The 25167-nt window shown below is 38.7% G+C and overlaps 1 long non-coding RNA gene across 2 annotated transcripts in view, besides 2 other annotated features; it reads right to left on the bottom strand.

Moving 5' to 3' along the window:
• LINC01818 (long intergenic non-protein coding RNA 1818) overlaps window positions 1-25167 on the bottom strand; it is a 186703-nt gene that overhangs the window by 9482 nt on the left and 152054 nt on the right. Inside the window, exon 3 of one of the 2 annotated variants that reach the window (NR_187171.1) lies at window positions 20356-20517. The exons of the other annotated variant lie outside the window; for it this stretch is intronic. This is a non-coding gene — a long non-coding RNA (long intergenic non-protein coding RNA 1818). The remainder of the gene's footprint in view (window positions 1-20355; window positions 20518-25167) is intronic. 2 annotated transcript variants of the gene reach the window in all.
• Window positions 2053-3252: an enhancer, noted in NCBI's record as "BRD4-independent group 4 enhancer chr2:151199972-151201171 (GRCh37/hg19 assembly coordinates)". NCBI's record gives its function as "activates an origin of replication core promoter dependent on BRD2, P300/CBP, MED14 and CDK7 cofactors, and independent of BRD4, by STARR-seq in HCT116 cells {active_cell/tissue: HCT116}" and the evidence as "EXISTENCE:reporter gene assay evidence [ECO:0000049][PMID:35650434]".
• Window positions 17752-20350: an enhancer, noted in NCBI's record as "VISTA enhancer hs1386". NCBI's record gives its function as "enhancer in: neural tube[6/12] | forebrain[12/12]" and the evidence as "EXISTENCE:transgenic organism evidence [ECO:0001131][PMID:17130149]".

Raw genomic sequence — 25167 nt, 5'->3', positions numbered from 1 at the left:
TATCAATTACCTTCTCTATTGGCGCACTAAAGCTACATAGATTCCTAAATATCAAATCCAATGGACGCATTTTTAATTAGTATTAGTCTGTTCTGCCGTATTTCAAAATATTTAGCACGCTTTTCTCTTCAATGATATCACTCTGTTTTCTTTTTCTTTTTCTTTTTCTTTTTTTTTTTTTTTTTTGAGACAGAGTCTCACTCTGTCGCCCAGGCTGGAGCGCAGTGGCGTGATCTCGGCTCACTGCAACCTCCGCCTCCCAGGTTCATGCCATTCTCCTGCCTCAGCCTCCCGAGTAGCTAGGACTACGGGCGCCCGCCACCACGCCCGGCTAATTTTTTGTATTTTTAGTAGAGACGGCGTTTCACCATGTTAGCCAGGATGGTCTCAATCTCCTGACCTCCTGATCCGCCCGTCTCGGCCTCCCAAAGCGCTGGGATTACAGGTGTGAGCCACCGCTCCCAGCCAATGATATCACTCTCTTCAGGGCCTCCTCTTGCATCCACAGCTGATTTCTTAGTTTTCTTCATGGCCTGTTCTTCTTTTACTCACTCCTCACACATTAGTTTCCTCCAGAGTTTCTCACAGCATCTGCTTTCCCTACTCCAAATTCTTTCCTGAGGCTATCTCATCCAAGTTCATTAGTTATAGATTGCATTTGGCACATAGGGAATTTGAAAAGAGAGGTGTGCACAGGACAGGCTTTTATTTTTCTTTCGTATGATGGAATCCTGAGGTCAGCCTTCCTGAGCTGGGATGTTGGGGGCTGCTGACTGTTGGCATTTCTTTTGTGGACTGCTGCAGCTCTAACAGCCCAATCTACAGATACTCAGGCTCAGAAACATAGGAAAAGTACAAACAGTAGTTGAATCTGTCACCTTTCTTAGGATTATTGAAAGAATCTCCACTCCATAACCTACACTTACAAAATTCTGTCACGTAGCTACACCCATCTGCAAACAAGACTAAGAAATTCTTTTATTGTTTAATTACAGTTCTATCAGTAAGGAGAAGGGCTCTAATAACATTTATATTCTGACCCCCAAACTCTTGCTTTAACCATGAACTTTCCTCTGGATTTAAGCTCATTTGTATATATATGTTTGTTGAACATCTATACTAAACAGTCAAAATGGCCTCTTAAAATCAATATGTCTAGATGTCTAAATTTCATCTCCATCTCACTGTCTATTTCTTTCCCTCACCATCCCACATACCTTCATTGAGTCAACCACATGTATTTTATACTGCTATATGTCAGGTGCACCATGCTAGGAGCTGACTTTATGAGTATGAGTGAGACATATTACCTACGTAAAGGAATCTACAAGTGGCTAATGTGTGCTGCCCAGATCCCTTCAGGACCAGCCCTCCTGCCCTTAGCCTCTGGGAGTACTGGATGCATTCTTTCTCAGAACTGCTCTCAGCTGAAGAGAACTGTTTTGTCTACACTGAAGCACACTTCCCAGGAGCAGCTGGTTGAGGGAAGAGTGTAAAGCTCTTACTCCCTTGCTTTAAGGTGGGACAAATATAAAAAACTGTCCCAGCTTGACAGCTCACTATGGGATCACCCGAGACTTATGAAGTGATGGCTCCAAATTTGACTCTTCTCTCTGTTCAATCTTACCTCACTCATGCACCCACAGGTGTGGCCCCTGAGAGGGATCCCCAGTGAACTTCCTGAATGCAAACCTCTATATAAGTCTGTTTTCCAAGAAACCTGATATGCAATAGGGTATCAGGAGTGACATTAGGAGGGAGAAACTAAATGGCATTTTGGAACTGGATGATTGGCAATATACATCCCATCACCTAGTAAGTGGGGTAGTGATAGCTCTGGCATGCTGTAGTGGTACAACTGTTACAGCTTTCATAGCTGGCAAACCAGGTTTGGGGAAGTGCTTATAAAAGAATTATAGAATTAGAAAATTGTTGCTGGGGCCAAGTGATGCATTGGAGAAAGATAATGACAGGCTGAGGATGATGAATCAACAATTCAAGATGAAGTGTGAAAACCAGATGGTCTCCTTGGCAGCAAACAAAGAGATCTTCATCTGCAACCAGAGAGCAGAGAAAGGTGAGGATCAGGCCCCTAACGTCATTACAAGAGTAGCAGAATTCCAGAGACAGTTGAATTTTCAACTTCAGCAATTTAGCCAAGCCAAGGTTAGGGTGTTCATTGGAAAAGAATGAAACTCTGAAATTGGGATGGGGAATCTGGGACAATGCACTAAAGAATCTTGAACTCCCAAATCTTTCTATACCTTCTCGTTCCACAGAAGTGGCTGATTTCTCCCTGTGAAAGGCTAGCTTCTCCTCTTCCCTGCTTGCAGATGATTCAGAGGGTCTTGACTTGCAAGACACTATGAACTCCCTTCAGGATGTACCCTCACCTCTCTTTCTGGTCACAGAAAAATAACTGTGGTTACGTCAAAACTTAATACAAGTGAGGAAGTTCTGAGTCTGCTAAGAGAGAAAGGGGCTATCCCACAAAGAAGCTGTAGAATCCAGCCAGGGGAGTAATGTAAGGGAATGCGGATGCTGATCAAGGGAAGCAGAACGAAAGTTAGAAAAGGAACATTTTGTCAATATGTTAGTACTGCCTCATGATACAGGAATACATACCCTGGCAAAGTCACCAGGAGACTGGGGAAATTTTCAGATAGGATGTCTCTTGGAAGCTAGGAGACAGTGATGGACAGCCCAAGCTTAGTGAAGTAGAAATGCCAGAGCTGCCATGACTGACAGTGGAAAAAGGTCTCAAAGCCTCAGAAAAGGCACACTGAAGAGGATACAGCAGATAAGGCTGGAAGGTCCAGTAGCCAACTCTGTTTCAAGAGAGAACCTGGCAAATATTCCACTTACCAAAGTAGTAAGAAATGCATTGGTGAGAGAGGCACCCTCATCTTTGAGATGCACAGTGATGGCTATTCTCTATTGGCCTGGACTAGCCTTTGGAAATACTTTTATAGAACTGGGCTTCCTGATAGCAATGGGGATGACAGGATCCCATATTAGGGGCCAGGAGACAGTACTTAACAATGGGAAGCCAAGTGGGCACAATTTCATAATGAGCAGCAAAGTCAGAGGGGCAGCCAGAAAAGCTTGATCTGTAGAGATGTATGGAGACAGTTAATGGAACACAGCATCCCTATGGGCAAGATTGAAGTCATCTGCAATCTAGTCATTAAAAAAAATTAAAGATGGATGATCAGAATTCTGAGGGCAGCTGCTCCCCAAAATAGTCGTGATTCTTTTTCCAGTTTACAGGCTGAGTCTTTAGTAAGAGGATGCTCTTTCTGGTCCAAATTTAATAGATTTGGTCTGTGAGTTGCTGCAGAAAAAAAGAAACATCTTCTGTGAGCATGTACACCTCAAACTCACATACACATTACAAATCATGATCCAAAAGTGGTTTGCAACATAAGACTGCCTTGAAATAGAAAAATGAAGCATAATAAAAGGAAGATATTAATTTTAGAGTGGAATAAATTATATGTGGTTTTTAAAAAAAATTATAGATTGGACTTGAGATTTCCAAAACTGGTCTTGCCAAGAAAACCAGAAGTTTGGTTGGCCAAAGGGTCAGTGGGGGCAGTAAGTCTTGGGCTGGGATAGAGGAACAAGAAGGGAAGATAAAGAAACACAGAACTCCTTCAACAGAGGCCTCTGGGATGCCTGAAAACAAAGTTTATGTATGGGCCGAACCACCAATTAGTTCATTCAACATTCAAGTACACAGTTGGCCAGGCACCATCTGCATTCTGAGGACTTAAAATGGAATAGAACATAGACTATGCTCTCCTGTAATGTCTGTCAAGCAAATGAGGCCAGTAAACCAAATATTTTATTACAGTGTGGCTTTGAAGTCATGATAAGGAAATAGCATTCAGCAGGGGCTTGGCCATGTGCTGGCTGTGTGACCTTAGTTATGTCACTTAATTTTTTTAATATCTAAGGAATATGTTGGTGTCTACCTCTTAGGGTTCTTTTTGAAGATAAAATGAAATAAAGCACCTTAAACACTTAGCAGAGTGCCCAGCACAATGTAAGTGTTCTCTTAATGTTATTGTTGTTGTTATAATGGTGATTGACATTATCAGTAATTCAAGAAATACTTTGAAAAATTGTAATCAAGACTGCTACTGGTTTCAACTCTCGCTTTTATGGGTTAATTAGAAAACAAAAGTGCCTAAAGCCACAGTGGCTTTCAACTTCCTTGTAAGACTTTCAGTCCTCTATACTAAACTTTGTCCTGTTTGCTTTGATAAAATAAAACAACTTCTCTTTATCTCTATATAGTAATGTCTTCATGTCCATTAACTAGTTCAGTCATCCATCCTTTTACTTTCTCATTGATTCAGACTACCATTTCATTGAGTTCCTACTTTTTTTTTGGTTAGCAATGCACTGGGTGCTGGAGATACCAAGATGAAAAGATAGTTCTTGTCCTCGAAGAACACCGTCTTTTTGATTCACAGCCCTGTGAGTTATAGATGATTATATGTTTGTTTTTCTGAATAGATGAGTCATCAAGTCAGAGAGGCTAATTAACATCCAACGTCTTACAGCCAGAAAGTGGCAAGGCCAGAACTGGAGCCACATCTTCTAATAGATAGTAACATCCATGCTTTTTCCATGCCACAGGAAATATTCAAGTGCAAGGAATTATCAGTCTTCTTGTCATTAAGCATACTTCTTCTAATAATCAATACAATAAACAAATAAAATAAAAGGAGCAATGACTTTATTTTTATCAATCACCTGAAGTTTAAGACATGGTATTATACTAGGTAAATGTGGCCTCTTATTCACAATGACACTAAGAGAGGCTTTTGTAGGAGAACATGTGAAGCCTCTGCTGGTGGAATAGTTGGAGAAAATTACCAGGAATATTTTTCTGTTCTCACAAATGGAACATTGAGTGTAAATAATACCATGTTGAAATACAGCAGTGTATTAGTCTGTTCTTGCACTGCTATGAAGAAATACCCGAGACTGGGTAATTTATAAAGTAAAGAGGTATATAATTGGCTCACAGTTCTGCAGGCTATATAGGAAGCACAATAGCTTCTGCTTCTGCGGAGGTCTCAGTAAGCTTCCAATTATGGTGGAAGGCAGAGGGAGAGTGAGCACTTCACATGGCTGGAACAGGAGGAAGAGAGAGGGAGGGAAGTGCCACACACTTTTAAACAACTAGATCTCATGAGAACTCTATCACAAGGACAGCACCAACGGGATGCTGCTAAACCATTCGTGAGAAAACTGCCCCATGATTCAATCACCTCCCACCAGGCTCCAGCTCCAACATTAGGAATCACAATTCTACATGAAATTTGGGTGGGGACACAGATCTAAACCATATCAAGCAGTTATCTTTATAGGCCATGAATATGTGAATAACTAGTTGGGGAACAGACTTTGTATAGAAAAGGAACTGAAAAAGAAAAAAATCAGGAATCAAATTTGCCAGTGACATCTAAAAATATCTCGAAGGGTATAAACCCAAGAAAGCAGAATACCACGTGTGCCCAGAGCAGAACTGAGCAATGCTCCTTTGAGACCAGAAAGAATCTGTATAAGCCTTAAGAAAAACTATAGTATCAAGAAAACAGCAAATAAAGAATTGGGTACATTTGAAGTTTGGGGATGACGTAGATGTTTTGGATTTTGTTTTAAAAGTCAGAAAATAAAAAAGGAACCTCTCATGACGTTTTATTGTTGCTACTAAAATTGACTCCCTTTGGACCAGAAGAAGTTACCATCAATACTCTCTGCAAAAAAATTAGGCACCCATGAGCATGGGCATGCATGACTTTCTGTCAAAGATTTTTGTGATTAATAAATATATTGCAAATTGAAATTCAAGATTTATTAGATATTAGCCCTTAGTTCGGCTCCACTCTTTGATTTTGATCACATCCCCTCCTATCCATCTAGAAATGGCAGAGCACTGAACAATTTCCAGGAAAACAATGTCAGGTTTCAGAATGACCATTAAAACAACAGTAACCTTAGTTTCACTTTCCTTGATTTTTTTGGGGAAGTAAAAAGAGACAGGAGGGGAGGGATGGACAGGTTGGGAACGCCAGGTGTGGAAGGTAATAGAGATGTAGATTTTTTTTTCTAGAAAGCACTGAATAGAGGGCCCAGTATCTGATGGATGAGATCAATGCAGGTAACTTCACAGAGTAATTCATTCTCTGAATGATTTCTTTAAGAGAAACATAATTATCTGCTGTGGCTGACTCCACTGCCTGAATTAACCAAATAACCACAAACTTTGCCTTTCTTTTTTTTGTGTTGGGTAATCATTTCAAAAATAAGCAAAAGCTGCAGTGCTAATTACAGTGTAGCCTGAAAAGGCCTTAAAGAAAAACAAACTCCACAAACGAATGCTGTGGAAGATGTGAGGAGAGGTGTTTCCATACAATCCTACTACAGAAATGTGCCCAGTTCTCCCAGAAAAAAAGTGTTTATTTAGCTTGATTTAAATAGAGATTAGGTAGTGAGCAGATGGAGCTTATTTGAGGCCGTTTGGCAAGCTTGCCTGTGAGACTGAGTAAATGAAGACTGAATGGGGAGGTGGCAGGGAAGGATGGCTGGAAGGAGGAAAGCAGGGTATTCCAAACAGACCAGCTGTTTCCAAAAACCCTTCACTCCCATATAATATGAGAGCCCAGAACTGAATCTGAATCTGGATGTCAAGAAACCAAAATTATAAAATATGTTTGTTCTTGTTGTATTACGTAAGAAGAAAGAAGTAGCCAAACCAATATACTAGAAGAATGTCAGAGCACAGTCACAAAGATCTACACCAAGAAAATCTCCTAAACAAAATCTACCTACTTTTGACTACAATTCAGCTGGTGACTGTGCAAAATTTATAAGTTCTTTTCTTCTTCTCTAACTCCTCACTCAGTAATTGTAGGTAGAAAAAAGAAAATTAATATTCTGTTTATACTCTTTAAAAAGCTCTAATAGGACTTTCTGTCCTGTAACTCTCAGCCACGTATGACAATCAAGCAGTTGAAATGAGTGTGAGGTTTTGTGTGTGTGTGTGTTTTCTTTGTTGTAATCAAATAAAAGTTCAGTAAATAAGAAAGAATGCGTTTGGGGTAGAGAAAAAAATTAGTAAACCTACATTTTGGTGATATCTGTGAAATAGGAAGGAAAGCTTAAAAATGCATTTCTCAAAATGGAATGTCTTAAGAACTTGATGAAGAAATAGTAAATGGCAGAAAATAGATGAGTAATAAGCTTTGAGTCATACAGAATTTGAAGACTACATCTACCTAATTTTTGTTTTGGGTTATCATCTGTTTGGGCTGCTACAATAAAATACCATAAACTGAATGGCTTATAAACAACAACATCAATTTATTTCCAACAATTCTGGAGGCTGGGAAGTTCAAGATCAAGGCACCAGCAGACTCAGTGACTGGTGAGGGCCTGTTTCCTGGTTCATAGATGGTGCCTTCTCACTGTGTCCTCACATGATGAAAGGGGCAAACATTAGGCCTCTTTTATAAGAGCACTAATCCCATTCCTGAGGGTTCTGCTCTCATAACTTAATCACCTCCCAAAGGCCCCATCTCCCAACACCATCGCCATGAGGGCTAGGATTTCAACATATGAATTTTGGTGGCTGAAATAAACATTCAGACCATAGCCATTAACATGTATAAAAATCAGGGCTGTAAATATCCAGGACTCCCAAATGATGTTCCGAGGACCCACACTGGGTCAGTGATAAAGTCCTAGAAAAATAAGAACTTTGTAGAGGGTTGGGCGTGGTGGCTCATGCTTCCAATCCCAGCACTTTGGGAGGCCAAGGTGAGCGAATCACCTGAGGTCAGGAGTTCAAGACCAGCCTGACCAACCTGGAGAAACCCTGTCTCTACTAAAAATACAAAAAATTAGTGGGAGTGCTGGCGCATGCCTTTAATCCCTGCTACTCAGGAGGCTGAGGCAGGAGAACCCCTTAAACCTGGAAGGCGGAAGTTGCAGTGAGATGAGATTGCACCATTTCACTCCAGTCTGGGCAACAAAAGCAAAACTCCATGTCAAAAAAAAAAAAAAAAAAAAAAAAAAAAAAAAAGAACTTTGTGGAAAGATTTTCTAAAGTTAGGTTTAATAACTTTTTTGGTGCTAAGGTTTCCTACCCTTTATAAAATTATGGTGAGAGTAGATGGCAACTTTTTAATGTCCTTAGTTGGCAAAACTCAAAGTTGATAACCCTATTATATTTAGCATCCTATTACATTGCTACTGGATAATGAAATGTAAAAATCTGAGAAACACTAATCTAGTTTACAAAGAAGGAAATTGAGTACCAGGAAGGATGAGTGACTTCCTTCAGCCCGCCCCACTCCCCCCATCAACAATTAACATCTAGTTAGCCTTACCTGCATCTCTCTTCACCATGCCCACAGTCATTCCAACAGCTTCACAAGGAAAACTAGAGCTTGTAGATAATGCTCATAACATGTCTAATTCTCTAGCGTTTTCAATATCAATTTTTCACTATTACTTGGAAGAGTCTGAGTGTTAAAGATGAGTGATTCTCCTTTACAAAAAAATGTAACTTCTTGAACACCATCAGCCAAATGATTGCTAAAGTTGATGAATTTTCAGAGTCTATTTCATGAAGCAAGTCACTGAGTTTCAACAATACATGCTCAGTGGGGGTAAAATCAACTTCCAGAATTTTGTCAGAAATACCTTTCTACTTAGATTGGATTCAGTTTTGGAGATGGACCTGTCATGTACTACTGACATCTCTCTCAGGTCTGTCACTTTGTGCCACTTATTGGGTTTCAGATACATATTATATTAGGAAAAATTGTACCTACCAAATTGCTCTACGATGTATAATTATTGTCATTATTTGCAAAAATAACAAGGTTTCAAGAGCTCCTAAATTTTGTATTATACACGAGCATACCTCAGAGATATTGCAGGTTCTCTTCCAGGTCACTACAATAAAGCAAATATTGCAATAAAGCAAGTCACATAAATGCTTTGGTTTTCCAGTGTGTATAAAAGTTATGTTTATACTATAATGTAGTCTATTAAGTGTGAAATAGCAGTATGTTAAAAATAAAAGCAATGTACATACCCTAACTGAAAGATACTTTATCGGTAAAGATTATCCGAACCTTCATCCAGTTGTAATGTTTTTGCTGGTGGAAGGTCTCACCTCAATATCTATGGCTGCAGACAGATCAGGGTGGCAGTTGCTGAAGGCTGGTGTGGCTGTGGTGATTTCTTAAAGTAAGACAACAATGAAGTTTTAGCATTGATTGACTCTTCCTTTCATGAAAGATTTCTCTATAGCACGCAACGCTGTTTCCTAGCATTTTACCCACAGTAGAACTTCTTTCAAAGTTGGAGTCAATCCTCTCAAACCTTGCCAGTGCTTTATCAATTAAGTGTCTAGAATATTCTCAGTCCTTTGTTATCATTTCAACGATGTTCACAGCATCTTCACCAAGAGTGGATTCCATCTCAAAACACCAATTTCTTTGCTTATCCATAAGAAGGAATTCCTTATCCAGTCAAGTTTTACCATGTGATTGCAGCAATTCAGTCACATCTTTAGGTTCCACTTCTAATTTTAGTTCTCTTGCTATTTCTATCAAATCTGTAGTTACTTCCTCCACTGAAGTCTTGAACCCCTCATCAAAGTCATCCATGAGGGTTGAAATCCACTTTTTCCAAATTCCTGATAATGTTGATATTTTGACCTCCTCTGATGAATCACAAATGTTCTTAATGGCATCCGGAATACTGAATCCTTTCTAGGAGATTTTCAATTTAATTTGCCCAAATCCATTGGAGGAATCTAATCAATATTTGTGTCTATGGCAACTATAGCCTTATTGAATATATTTCTTAACTAATAAGATTTGAAAGTCAAAATTACTCCTTGATCCTTGGAATACAGAAAGGGTGTTGGGTTAGCAGGCATGAAAACAGAATTAATTTTCTTATACAACTTCGTCAGAGCTCTTGGGTGACCAGGTGCATTGTCAAGGAGCACAGTAGTTTGAAGGAAATCTTCTTTTCTGAGAAGCATATCTCAGCACTGGGCTTATAATGATCAGTAAACCATGAAGTGAACAGATGTGTTGTCATCCAGGCTTTGTTGTTTAACTTATATAGCACAGATAGGATTTCTATAGCATAATTATTTAGGGGGCTATGATTTTTGGAAAGGTAAATGGATGGTGCCATCAAATTAAAATCGCCAGCTGCATTACTCCCCTAACAAGAGGGCCAGCCTGTCCTTTGAAGCTTTGGAGCCAGGCATTGACTTCTGTTCTCTAGCTATGAACATCCTACCTAGCATTTTCTTTTGATATAAGACGGTTTTAGATCTGTTTATTGTAACCACCTTTTGTCAATGATCTTAGCTAGATCTTCTGGATAACTTGCTGTAACTTCTACATCAGCACATGCTGCTTCACCTTGCAATTTTATGCCGTAGAGATGGATTCTTTCCTTAAGCTTCATGAACCAACTTGAAAGTTTTCTTCTGTAGCTTCTTCCTCTCTCTCAGCCTTCATAAAATTGAAGAGAGTTAGGGTCTTGCTCCGGATTAGGCTTTGTCTTAGGGGAATGTTGTGGCTGGTTTGATCTTCTATCCAGGCCACTAAAACTTTCTCTGCATTAGCAATAAGGCTCTTTTGCTTTCTTATTATTAATTTGTTTACTGAAATAGTACCTTAAATTTCCTTCAAGAACTTTTCTTTTGCATTCACAACTTGGCTAATGGTTTGGTGCAAGAGGCCTAGCTATTGGCCTATCTTAGCTTCGACATGCCTTCCTCACCAAGTTTAATCATTTCTAGCTTTTGATTTAAAGTGACAGGTATGTGACTCTTCCTTTCACTTGGTCACTTAGAGGCCATTGTAGGGTTATTCATTGGCTTAACTTCAGTATTTTTGTGTGTCAGGAAATAGGGAGGCCTGAGGAGCAGGAGACAGAAGAGAGAATGTTTGGTCAGTGAAGCAGTCAGAACATACACAACATTCACTGACTAAGTTCACTGTCTTATATAGGTGTGGGTGATGGCACTGCCAAAAAATTACAATAGTAATATCAAAAATTGATGATCACAAATCACTATAATAGATGCAATAATAATGAAAAAGTTTGAAATATTCTGAGAATTACCAAAATGTGACCCAGAGACCTAAAGGGAACATGTGTTGTTGGAAAAATGGCACTGATAGGCTTGCTTAATGCAGGGTTGCCACAAACCTTCAATTTGTAAAAATGCAATATCTATAAAGTGCAATAAAATATGATATGCCTGTACACAAGCTGGCTTGATTAAATTTATCAAAATACATCAGCACTTGTTGCTTCACCTTGTACTTGTATGTTACAGAGATGACTTCTTTTCTTAAGCCTCATGAACCAACTTCAAAGTTTTCTTCTGTGGCTTCTTCACCTCTCTCAGCCTTAATATAATTGACGAGAGTTAGAGTCTTGCTCTGGATTAGGCTTGGTTTAAGGGAATGTTGTGGCTAGTTTGATCCCCTATCCAGACCATTAAAACTTTCTCTGCATTAGCAATAAGGTTGTTTTGCTTTCTTATCATTCACGTCCTTACTGGAGTGGTCATGCTAAAGGTGGCAAGAAGGGAAGAGGCAGAAAGGGAAGAAAAAAAACTTCAGGAAAAAAGCAGAACTAGAGACAAGGACAAATTTGGGTAGATCCTGCTTGTGAGCTTTTGAGTTATAGGCTCTTTTCCTTGGCCTGTAAAATTCAAAGTGCATAGACCAAGCTCTCCGGGGGCTGATCACCCCTCCTGGGTGAATGTTAATCTCAGGGCTTCATTGACTTCATCCAGAGAAATGTAATCTCTCAGAGCACTTGCGGCAAGTAGAATGAAATCGAGGAAAAACCTTGATCTATTTTGCAATTAATGCCTTCAGAGAGATTTTTGCGAGACCAATGTAAATTTGGATATAGAAGTATCTCATAGATTTCAGACACTCCTTAGAGAACACAGGGCCATAATACGATGAATAGATTATACTGTGCCATTAGTAGAGTCTTATCCCCTGTAAAATGTGTCATTTTGCCCTGTATTGTTTCAATTTTCATAATCACTTCAGAATTCCTGTGTGGATATTTATCCAAATGTAAATGGCTTACAGAATACATTGAGGCAAATGTATTCAGAGATCTAGGATGCTGACTGATCATAGAAAACCCACTCCAGACAAACAGCTATGAAAATGCTGGTCACCCCAGTTATGATTGTGAGTGGTTTATCCTCGACACTGGACCACCACTTCAGCCCCTGTGACCCCTAGTAATACTATATAATGTTCATCTAAATTTTAGAAACCAACAAGTAAATTATAGGCAAATGAGCAAAAAGTATTTCAAAGCAAGACAGAAAAAGAAAGAAGCAGATAGGAAAAGAGAGGAAAACAGGAAAGAAGGAAGGAAGGAAGGAAGCAGAAAAAAAAGAATCAAAAAAAGAAAAAAGGGAAAAGGAATGAAGGGAGGGAGAGAGGAAAGAGAGAAAGAAGTAGGAGAGAGAAGGAGCAGAGATGAAAAAGGAAATATAAGTGGTGGGAACAAGTAAGATGTCCCCAGTAATTATCTGGAGGGCCACTCAATGAAGCCATGTGTAATGGTTTATTCTATGTCAACATGACAAGGTTAAGGGTTGCTCAGATAGCTGGTTAACATTATTTCTGTGTATGTCTGTGTGTTTCTAGAAGAAATTAGCATTTGAATTGGCAGACTGAGTAAAGAAGATCCCCATTGTGGATGGGCCTCATCCAATTGGTTGAGGGCCTGCATAGAGAGAACAAAAAAAGTGAAAGTAGGGCAAACTCTCATTCCCTCTTCCTTAAGCTGGAACATCCATCTTCTTATGTCCTTGGACACTGTAGCTCCAGGTTCTTGAGTCTTCAGACTAGGACTGAATGATGCCACTAGCTTTCATGGGCCTCCAGTGGACAGATGGCATATCCTGAAATTTCTCAGCCACCATAATCTTGTGAGTCAATTTCCACCATAAATCCTCTCTTATGTCCATATATATAGAGAGAAGCAATAGGATATATCTCCTACTGGTTCTATTTCTCTGGAGAACACTCATGCACCATTCCGTCAATTCCCTGCACATGGTTATCTTTCCAAAAAGTATTTACTAAGCATCAATTATTCAAAGTTTCTAAAGGATACAAAGACTTGTCAAACGAACCACAAGATGCATCCTTGAGGACGGAACTGGAATCATCTCTTTATAAATTCAGGACTGAACTAGACTAGAGTGGGCAAAAGAAAAGTGCCAATACAGTTAACAGTTAAAATAAAAATCATAGTGAAAGAAAGAAGAACAACAATAAAATGACCCTTTGAAATGTTACAAGCCTAATATTTCTCTTCACTAATTTCTAATTCTATCTTGAAATATATTCTGGTTTCCCTCACAAATTTCTAACAGTCTTTCCAAATTTTATATCAATCACTACTTTGACAGACTGTGATAAATAAGTCAATTTGACCTTCCTTTACTTGATTTCTACTTTATTATTAATCTTTCTCTCTTGTTACACATAATATATTTCAGTTTAAAGGGAACTAGAAAGATACAGAAAATGCAACATTGCCCAATTTGACTCCAGCCCGAAGCTGAATATCATCATTTATTTTTATTTTTACTTTGATTTGGGAATAATAGGGTGACTAAATAATAATAATAATAGGGTGACTAAATAATAAATAAATAGGGTGAATAAAAAAAAATAGCTGTTTTTGTCAACTTAAAACAAAGCAAGACAAAATGCAGATACAGAAAGCCCATGTGTAACAGGCAAAGGTGGAACACAAGAAACAAAACAAAATTAAGACAAAAAGCAAAATAAAACAAAAAAGACTATGACTCTGCTTTAACCAAGTTCACCTAATCCTAACATATCTAGAACCTGGTGCCACAAAATCGTGTCGCTATTTATATAGCTTTTGCACAAGGCTTGTCTTGGCCCCCTACCTTCTGCTACAGGCTGACATCCTTGGCACACATAGAAGTGGGCCTCACTGCCATGCTTTACTTGGCAGATCCTTGTGACATTCCTTCTGCTCTGCCAGAGCTTGGCAGACTTACCTTCAGAATTGTAGGGCAAAGAATCACTGGCCATGTTCTGGGCAGCAGGTAGGTGGCTCCATTACTGTAAGATCACTTCAGAATATCACTCCATAATCTCAATGGGCTGCAGAGCCTTTGCCACAATTTTCTCTGTCATCACATCTTCAGGTGCTGTGGCTTTTCTAGGGGAACATTTGGAGATGGCCTCAACCCAGGACTCCAGATGCTACCGTGCTCACATAAGCTCCTGCATTAAGCAGACCTGGATCCACTTGCTGACGTCCTTGCCTGTCAATTCAGTGTTTGACCCTGGGCTGACTTACTGGGGAAAAGAAATATGCGAAGAAAGCTGAGGAAGAAGCATTATTACTGTCCATAATGTGCAGTCCCACTGAGGGGTGTCTTCTGCTCTTGATGATTCACAGCCACCAAAACACATCATAGCTGGATGCAGCAAGCACACCATAGTGACTGTCCCAGCTCTGTACACACATCCTTTCTCAACGTCTTTCCTTATCAATGCCAACCTCAGGCTTGCAGGCAGTTCCTGCAAATCAGGTGAGCATTTAGGAGCTTGAATGAGAATAATAATATAAAATTTTAACACATTTTCAAGAAGAGCCTTTTAGAGCTAAAAATTTGAATTAATTTAAAAAAGATTGTGGGCTGGCTGTGGTGGCTCATCATGTAATCCCAGCACTTTGAGAGTCCAAGGCAGGCGGATCACCTGAGGCCAGGAGTTCAAGACCAGCCTGGCCAACATGGTGAAACACTGTCTCTACTAAAAACACAAAAATTGTCTGGCATGGTAGTGCATGCCTGTAATCACAGCTACTTGAGAGGCTGAGGCATGAGAATTGCTTGAACCTGAGAGGTCGAGGCTGCAGTGAGCCATGATGGCACCACTGCACTCCAGTCTGGGCGACAGAGCAAGACCCTGTCTCCAAAACAAAACAAGATTGTTAGAGAAAAGAAATTGAGTTGTTCATGGTACAAAAATAGCAGGAGGAAAGTAAATATTAGAAGAGAAAAGGTAGTGCTAAAAGAATCATTCCCTTTAAATTTATATAACATTAAATTGATTGTCATATGAGCCTCAAGATAATCCACTCTCCTCCCTTTAGTGGACTCCCTATTTCCTAGATTTTCTGAATTGTTTCGAAATAATTAAAAGATAATCAACTGTTCTTGTTGGGAATGACATACATTCCTCTCTTTGCATTCAGAGTCACATTTAAGGAATGCATAATCTATAATCATTGCTTCTGTTTCCTTACTGCTTTTTTTTTCCACCTAAACTTCTCTTTCTTTCTACTGAGACAGCTATCACCCGAAGATACCAATGATCTCATCTCCTTCTTTCACTTATTTTCTGTGGATTTCTGCACATGGATTTAATGCTGTTGAGCATGGACTTTAGAGTCAGACATATCTTAACTGCACAGTTCCAGCACTAATGAGGTGCGCGTGGGCAAATTATCAAAACTTTCCAAGCACTAGTGGACTTCGCAAGATAATTGGGAAAATTAAACAAGATTATGCATGTGAAAGGTAACTGCATGATGGTGCCCAGCGCCACATCAGGCCATGGTAGACAGTTAATATGTACTAGTTTCTTTTTTCATGGCCCCCATGCCCTGTTGCAGTAGTCTCCCCACATCCTCGCATTACATTGTAGAATTGAGTTTTCTTCCTTCTCTGAGCACCATTCTAAAGCCTTCTCTTTTTTGTTTTGTTTGTTTGTTTGTTGTTTTCTTTGAAATGGAGTCTCGCTCTGTTGCCCAGTCTGGAGTGCAGTGGCGCTATCTGGGCTCACTGCAAGCTCCGCCTCCAGGTTCACGCCATTCTCCTGCCTCAGCCTCCGGAGTAGCTGGAACTACAGGCGCCCGCCACCACGCCTGGCTAATTTTTTTGTATTTTTCATAGAGACGGGGTTTCACCGTGTTAGCCAGGATGGTCTTGATCTCCTGACCTCGTGATCCACCCGTCTTGGCCTCCCAAAGTGCTGGGATTACAGGCGTGAGCCACTGTACCCAGCCTTCTTCTTCTTCTTCCTTTTTTTTTTCTTTTGATTGCTCTTCCTCTTTTTACTTCTGGATATATGTGAGCACCAAGAAGGTTTTCATAGAGCCATCTCGCCGCCAATGCCAACAGCTCCAGGTGCTAACTCAGATGTATGAGTTTCACATTGCACAACTTTAGCTCAAGCATCTCTTCTGAGCTCTAAACCACATTTTCACCTGCCTATTTGGTGTCTTTTTGTGGATGTACAAACCTCACCTCAAACTCCACTCCATACTTCCAAAACTCTACATTTTCCTTGTCTCACAGTTCGGCTCCTCAGATCACCAAGCACCATGATTTTTGCTTTAAGCAGCTAAAGCACTTAGAGAAACACCTCCACAGGTTTCCATTGCACTTAACTGTCACACTTTCATCGAAGAGATGGTCATAAAAAGAAAATGTCTAAGCATCTGTAAATTCATTTTTGAAGGCACTCATCATGTTGTTTCAAGATCTTGCTAAGCTTAGGTGCTTGAACATTATTCCTGAATCCAGGAATAAGAAAATTTGAGGTTGAGTTTCAACTCTAAAATTTAGCAAGCTTTGCAAGTTTAAAGTATTATTTTTTTGCCTTTGAAATTCAGTTTCCTCTATTGTAAAACGAGGATGATAATTGCAGCAGTGACTCCCAAGTTTTAGTAAAAAAATGAGATCATATATGTGATAGTCCTCTGTATGCTATGATATGCTACAGAAATAAAATTTGTTTTGTTTTTCACCAAGCCTGAAACATGGTAGGCACTTAAAGAATCTTTTCTGAATATAATTAAAATATGAAGTACTAGCTATTGACATTATCATGTTTGATCCTTACAGTGTTCCTTTGAGACATTTTCCTCCTTTTATAGATAATGACATAGTGGCCGGAAAGTATTGATTGTGGGTAGAAACAATGAATCTTTGGCAGCTTGTTTTTACGTTTAGTCTTTCCCCCAGTGTGTCACACTTTATATGATGTTGTCCATGTTAGAGGCATACATATTTTAGGATAGGTATTGGAGAGTAAATAGAAGACTTCAAGGAGTTATTCTATTTCCCTCTGTTCCCATTTACTCAGAATGTGTCCACATGATGCCTCGCTCATAATGAGCTCAAACAAAAAATCTGCTGAACATTTCAATGTTTGACCAACTTTGTAATAAATTGACTGAATGTTTGGTGTTTATAGGCACAGACTACTTAAACGAACCAAACTATTTTGAGATGTTCACAAAGAAAGCTTTCAAGAGACCATTGACATTCTCTGACTAAAAGCAAATTACCTGCAGTTGTCATGCTGGAAAAATAATTCTGTTTAATAAAAAATTAAAAATAAAAGCATCGTGTATGCTTGTGTGTATTTCTTACTCCCATCATATAAAATACATGCAATTATTCTATTTTATCATATATATTTCTGTCGAGACTATATTACCTACAAAAGATAAAAACTTTCATTGAAGTGGGAATTTGAAATTGTCTAATGTTGTGATGCATTCAAAGGAATCTAATCAGATCTTAAATAGGTGTAAACACAATAATTATGTCTAATCATGGTCTTTTTTATTCTTCAAAAGACTAGTAATACACAGCCACTAAAAATGATAATGCAGTCCTACGTACTGACTTAAATGTACATCCGCACATGTTGTCAAGCGACAAGAATATATATGAAAACATTTTATTTGTGTAAATTTGCATGAGCATATGCAGATGAACTGATTTACTACAAAATGTTAATGGTACTTATCTCTAAATGGCAGTACCTTTCTTCTTATAATTATCTGCATTAGATATCTTAAAATATTTTTTTGCAACAAATGTGTATAATTTTAAAATTGGGGAAAGTATTTTCAGTTTAAAAATAAGGGAGCAAAACCTAATCATTCACTCAGGCATAGTAAGATAAAGTTACCACATATGTAAAAGGTGGTCTGAAAGGATAATGCATAGTGCCATGTCCAAAACTATCTTCTTAACCTGTACAATATTAAGCTACTAAAGAGTTCAGTGAAGAAAAAAATAAATGCATTGCAGTCAAAAGACATAAATGAGGAGCAAAACAATGGAGGAAACTAATAAATTAATACATCTGCGGTGCTGGCAGGATTTTTGTGCAGTGACATTTGTGAACGTCCTGTGTAAATGCCAAGCCTGTAAGGTGGGGCTGTCATGCATCACTTTTATAAGTGAAGACCATCTCCTGATTATCAGCTCTTTGCCTCCAGCACAGCCTGTACTTCTCGTGCAAATGCAAACACAGACACAGCCCAAGGCTGCTGGGTCCTAAACTCTTACGGACCAATAAATTCTGTAGTCTTTAGCCAAAGCAGACCGACAGTACATTGGCAAAAGGGAAGGCACAGTTTAAAAGCATGTGCATGTGCCAGCATTTACAGGGATTTAAAAGAGACATTTGTAGAGAGCAAAATACCATTTTTTACCAGTTTTGTTGGGCCTTAATTAAAGAGGCCTTTCCCCCCTTTTCTGCCATTTGGGCTGTGGGATTGCAGCCTCTCCTGGCTCAAAGAACTATTTCATTGGTCCGCAGGCTAATTAGGAAGGACTCACACTGCTCGCCAGCCTCCTGAAAGGCCAGAACAAAGGCTGCTGCTGGTAGATTGCAGTTCTGCCTCAATTGCAGAGGCTCACGAGTAAAAGAAAAAGAAAAGCTTTTGAATAGAAAAGCCTTTTGATGCCGTGAAAGAAATTAAGAACTAAAACAGAGGCCTAGGCGCTGCTGCACAGAGCCCTCCATACAGGCTGATTGTGCTTAGGAACAAGGTCAACAAAGCCCCATCTGATACCGAACACCTCACATTAAAGAGGCATCTATTTAGCTGCTGTGTCTTGGGCTCTCCTGCTACGAAGTACTTTCCCAATCAGGCCGTCTGGTGCCGTGATAAACACAGATAAATATGAGCAGCATCATGCTTTCATCTGAACAATTAATGCATGATTTCCTAGTTGATTGTTTGCAAATACACTATAAACAACTGTGTTTTCTTTTTTTTTTGACCAAACAAAAATAAAGCTGTGAAGAAAAAGACATTACCACCATCACATTAGCATCTTATTGTCTTACCAAAATTTTACTGAATTTCTCTTCATATTTTAAAATAATTGTAGTTTATCCAAATAATGTGAAAAAACACGCATCTTTTTCTTCACAGAAGAATGGAAATCTTAAGTGCCAATGCATTTTCTAACAGCCTAAATCAGTTAATGACAAGTAACTGAAGCTGAAATGCCCATTTGTTCTGAATCTTGCAGTCTTTGCTCCTTGCTACATAGGCTTTCAAAGGGAAGTCTCTTTTCTAATTTTATGACTTTGAAAATTAAGCATCTTTTTCAGAGCTTCACCTCCAAATAGTAACTATCCTTTATTGAGGCTTTATGCCAACTACCATACTTAGCACTCTACATGTATTAGCTCCATTAACCCTCAAAAATCAATGACATAGCCGGGTGCCTGGTGTCTCACGCCTGTAATCCGAGCATTTTGGGAGGCCGAGGTGGGTGCATCACTTGAGGCCAGGAGTTCGAGACCAGCCTGGCCAACATGGTGAAACCCATCTCTACCAACAAATAAAAAAAAAATTAGCCAGGCATAGTGGTGCATGCCTGTAATTCCAGCTACTTGGGAGGCTGAGGTAGGAGAATCTCTTAAACCCGGGAGGCGGAGGTTGCAGTGAGCTGAGATTCCGCCACTGCACTCCAGCCTGGGTGACAGAGCAAGACTCCATCTCAAAAAACAAACAAACAAACAAACAAACTAATGACATAAGCATTATTGTTATCTGCAGTTTACAAATGTGGAAACTGAGGCTCTGAGAGGCTAAACATAAGAAGAAGGACACAACTATTAAGGAGTAAGGCCAGAATTTGAAATCACGGCTTTCTGACTTTCAACACTGAGCTATTACGGTGGAATTAAAATTTCCATGTAGAAGTATTAGTGCAGAATTACAAAATTGAAAAGTACATTAGAAATCATGTAGCCCACACTCCTCAATTTGCAGATAAGAAATTAAGATTCAGAGACGTTGGAGGATTTATTTATGTTCATCCAGCTGATTTGGTGAATTGCAGACTCTCCTAATTCCAGAGATTTTAGTAGGAAGGTTCTCAAACGGTAGCATGATTAGAAGCACATGAAGGACTGTTAGGCACAGATAGCTGGGCCTCACCTCCAGACTTTCTGACTCAGTAGGTCTGCAGCAGAGGGCCACAGCATTTGCTTTTCAACAACTTCCCTGATGCTGCTGATGCTGCTAGTCTGGGAAGACAGTTTGAGAACCTCTGTCCTCGAATATCACACTGCTTCTCATGCAACTGTGAAGTGAATAAAACTGAAAATGAGGATGAGTCAAATTAAGCAGTAAAACAGTTTGGAATTTTATTCAATTTCATGTAAGAACCAGCCTCAGCAATGCCATCTTGAATTTTGCATCATTCTTATCCATCTGGTAGTCACAGTCACAATTTTTGTGAAGTCTAAAACAAGGCAGTCATTCACAGCAATGTTACTTTCAGTGTAAATATTTCCTGGAGATTCTTTCTAAGATCTTTGGAACTTTTTCCTCTTTAAAAGATAATTGCAAAAGCTAGAAGTTTTTGTGTATGGATTAAGTTCCTTTCAGAGCTCGTCTCAAGCCATTTCTAATGCAGAGATTTGAATAATGCAGCTGTACAATTTATCTTTCAAAAGGGCGTGCACTACCGCACTGCTGTGCAGATGACTCAGCATTGAAATGTAATTTACCAAAATGATTCCGATCTGGTAAATACATTTCTTTTCTCAGAAAAATTGAAACATCTATCAGCTGAAGTGCGCTTCTCTTATCCTTTTCACCAAAATAATTTTCACCTATCCAAGGAATAATCTGTGGTTGCTCAATTTATAAAATAATCCTTATTGAAACCTGTTTGTTATTTGGCACAGAAATGAATGACCTTGGAGGAAGACCTGGATCACTCCTGCTCTATCCTACAAAACTTTCCATCTGGGTCACATCCCAGACCTGTCTCACAAGGTGGCGAAATGACCAGGCATCATTATCATATATTTACTGATCACTAGCCTGTATGTATAAGTCACTTGAGATTGTCATTGGGCTGAACAGGTGTATTCTAGCTTTTTTGTTGCCTAGTTTGGGTCTGAAATCCATTTTGAATGAACAGGTCATTGTCAGTAGTGCCAATTATCATTTTTATCACCTGTTATTTTGGGGATCTACTTCCTGCAAGAGTGAGAGGTTAGGTAGGAGACCGAAGAAAACAGGGCTTCTTTAAAGTAGGTAGAATCAAGCAGTCTTCCAAGGAAGTCTAAAAGATATTTAAATGGAAAAAAAAATTATAAAGCCATGGCAAATCAACCTGATGCCTTCTTAAATATAACAATCCTCCAACAGTCTTCCAGCCAGCCTTCTTTCCCTGTGAGTAGAAAGCATTTTCAAGCAATAATACTATCCTAAGGCATGCTTGGAAACATTCCAGGGGCTGCAAGAGGAATTACATGACAGGTCAGCTCCTACGGTGACTATGATACTTGGATTAATGCAGTACTAGGACAAGAACAGGAATACTATAGCGATCACAATTATAACAGAGCAAACGGACTTGGGGTGACAGAGATAACCTGTAATGTAACGTTTTGCACTTGCAGATGGAGAGTTTCAGAGTTTAATGTTATTGATTTCTTAGCATTGTTACTAGGAGGCAACCAATAGGATGAACACTGGACAAAAACAATGTTGTAAAGACAAAAAGTGGAGGACCCTATGCAAGACCAAAGAGATACTGCTTTAGTGAGGGAAGATTGACTATTGACCTTAACTGTACATCAGAGATTTTGATCTTGGAAGATCATTTTTAAAATGTATTTTTGAAAGGTGAGTCTAAAAATGCAACCAGAAGTGACCTAGAATTATGCAACTAATAAAGCTGCAAATAATTTGTACTAGAATGGGATTTAGTCAATTTTAGTAAATCTACATAGTTGATTTCAAAATCCCATGTTTCATTTGCCCCATTAATTCTTTAATTACCTTTATATAATCTGAAAAAGAACAACTCCTTCAAGTGTCATTCAGATCGGTAGCTCTGCTATACACCAACAGTGACCAATCTGAGAATCAAATCAAGAACTCAACCCCTTTTACAATAGCTGCAAAAAAATAAATAAAACACTTAGGAATATACCTAACCAAGAAGGTAAAAGATCTCTAGAAGGAAAACTACAAAACACTGCTGAAAGAAATCATAGATGACACAAACAAATGTAAACACATTCCATGCTCATGGATGGGTTGAATGAATTTTGTGAAAATCACCGTACTGCCAAAAGAAATCTATAAATTCAATGCACTTCCCATCAGAATACCATCATTCTTCACAGAATTAAAAAAGACAATCCTAAAATTCCTGTGGAACCAAAAAAGAGCCTGCATAGCCAAAACAAGAGTAAGCAAAAAAAACAAATCTGGAGTCATCACATTACCTGACTTAGAAAGTATACTATAAGGCCACAGCCACCAAAACAGCATGGTTTTGGTATAAAAACAGGCATATAGACCAGTGGAATAGAATAGAGAACCCAGAAATAAAGCCAAATACTTACAGTCAACTGATCTTCAACAAAGCAAACAAAAACATAAAGTGAGGAAAGGACACCTTATTCAACAAATGCTCTGGGATAATTGACAAGCCACATGGAGAAGAATGAAACTGAATCCTCACCTCTCATCTTATACAAAAATCAATTCAAGATGGAGCAAGGACTTGAAACCATAAAAATTCTAGAAGATAACATTGGAAGAACCCTGCTAGTCATTGGCTTAGGCAGAGACATCATGACCAAGAACGCAAAACCAAATGCAACAAAAACAATGATAAATAGGTGGGACTTAATTAAACTAAATAGTTTCTGCACAGCAAAAGAAACAATCAGCAGAGTAAACAGACAACCTACAGAGTGGGAGAAAATCTTCACAGTCTGTACTAACAAAGAACTAATAACCAGAATATACAAGGAACTCAAACAAATCAGCAAGAGAAAAACAATCCCATCAAAAAATGGGCTAAGGACATGAATAGACAATTCTCAAAGAAGATATACAAGTGGCCAAGAAACATATGAAAAAATGCTCAACATCACTAATGATCAGGGAAATGCAAATTAAAACCACAATGTGATAGCTCTTTACTCCTGCAAGAACAGTCATAACCAAAAAATCAAAAAATAATAGGTGTTGGCAGGGATGCAGTGAAAAGGGAACACTTAAACTGCTGGTGGGAATTTAAACTAGTAAAACCACTATGGAAAACAGTGTGGACATTCCTTAAAGAACTAAAAATAGGACATTCCTTAAAGAACTAAAAGCAGAACTACCATTTGATCCAGCAATCCCACTACAGGGTATTTACAAAGAGGAAAAGAAGTCATTATACAAAAAAGATACTTGCACATGTATGTTTATAGCAGCACAATTTGCAACTGCAAAAATATGGAACCAGCCCAAATGCCCATTAATCAATGAGTGGATAAAGAGATTGTGATATATATATATATATATATATATAAAATATATATATATGTGTGTGTGTATATATATATATAAAATACGTATACACATATCATCATGGAATACTATTCAGCCATAAAAATAAATGAAATAACAGCATTTGTAGCAACCTGGGTGGAATTGGAGACCATTATTCCACATGAAGTAACTCAGGAATAGAAAACCAAACATCGTGTATTCTCACTCATAAGTGGGAGCTAAGCTATGAGGGTGCAAAGGCATAAGAATGATACAATGGACTTTGGGGACTTGGGGGAAAAGGTAGAAGCGGGGGTGAAGGATAAAAGACTACAAATTGGGTATAGTGTATGCTGCCTAGGTGATGAGTGCAACAAAATCTCACAAATCACCACTAAAGAACTTACTCATGTAACCAAACACCACCTGTTCCCCAAAAACTTATAGGAAACAATTTTTTTAAAAAAGAAGAAAGATAAAGGTCAGGGAGACTCAGCTGATATTTATAGTAACTATTGATATTTGCTTTTGGCAATTTAAATGAGCATTATTTATATTTTTATAATTAATGATCATGCCATTCATTAAGATTGTTCCAGCATTTAAATAATCACGACAGGTTCTAGCAAAGCTGCGAAAAAGGTTAAATCAATCATTGGGTTTCGTATTTCCTGTATCAGTGTCTCTTCCTCTGTATTTCTTTTCTCTGCCTTCTCTATGCTGTTAGTTGGCTGCTAGTGTTTTATACAGCAGGGGCTTGCTGTGTTCTGCACACACTAATTCTTATGAGTGTTAATTGGTACTCAAAGAACAAAGAGCCTCATGGTCAAGAAAGCTTGGGAAATGCAGAGTACCCCAATTCTCTCCTGGAAAGTCACAATACTATTAACATGTTAAAGGCTCTGAAAGGTCCTGCAGTAAGAAAGAAACTTCTCTAACTTTGCTTAACAGTTAAACATATCTACTTGACCCCTGGTATTTTTTCTTGACCCGTCTATTAATATACCCCAGAATAAAATGCCCTTAACCCAAGCTGGGAAGTGTGTTAGCAAAACTTCAAGTTATGACCACCTCCAGACTGTTCATATTTTAGGAGGGTACTTTGTAAAGCCTTCTAAATATTAAGGATGGATGCTGTGATAAGTGATGAAGTCATCAAATGTCTGCTCATGAAGGTGAACTTACAAAGAATACAGAGAAATTTATAATGCCATGAGGTGGAAGCCATTGTTCAAAATGGATTTCAAACCCAAACTAGGTAACAAAAAAGCTAGAATACACACAAGCCCCCACCAACAAACACATGCACATAGAGCACAGAAGATAAACAATTTGCCGTTTACTCTTATTCTATTTATCTTGGGTGTTTCCACATTGGTTTTAGAATAATGTGGGTTTTAGAGACAAACAGAGCTCGACTTCAAACTGTTACCATTTGACTGTACTCAGGCAAAAAAT

Source organism: Homo sapiens, chromosome 2, assembly GCF_000001405.40.
Source record: "Homo sapiens chromosome 2, GRCh38.p14 Primary Assembly".
NCBI classification, from domain to species: Eukaryota; Metazoa; Chordata; class Mammalia; order Primates; family Hominidae; genus Homo; species Homo sapiens.
This window is presented reverse-complemented; position numbering and strand designations above follow the sequence as displayed.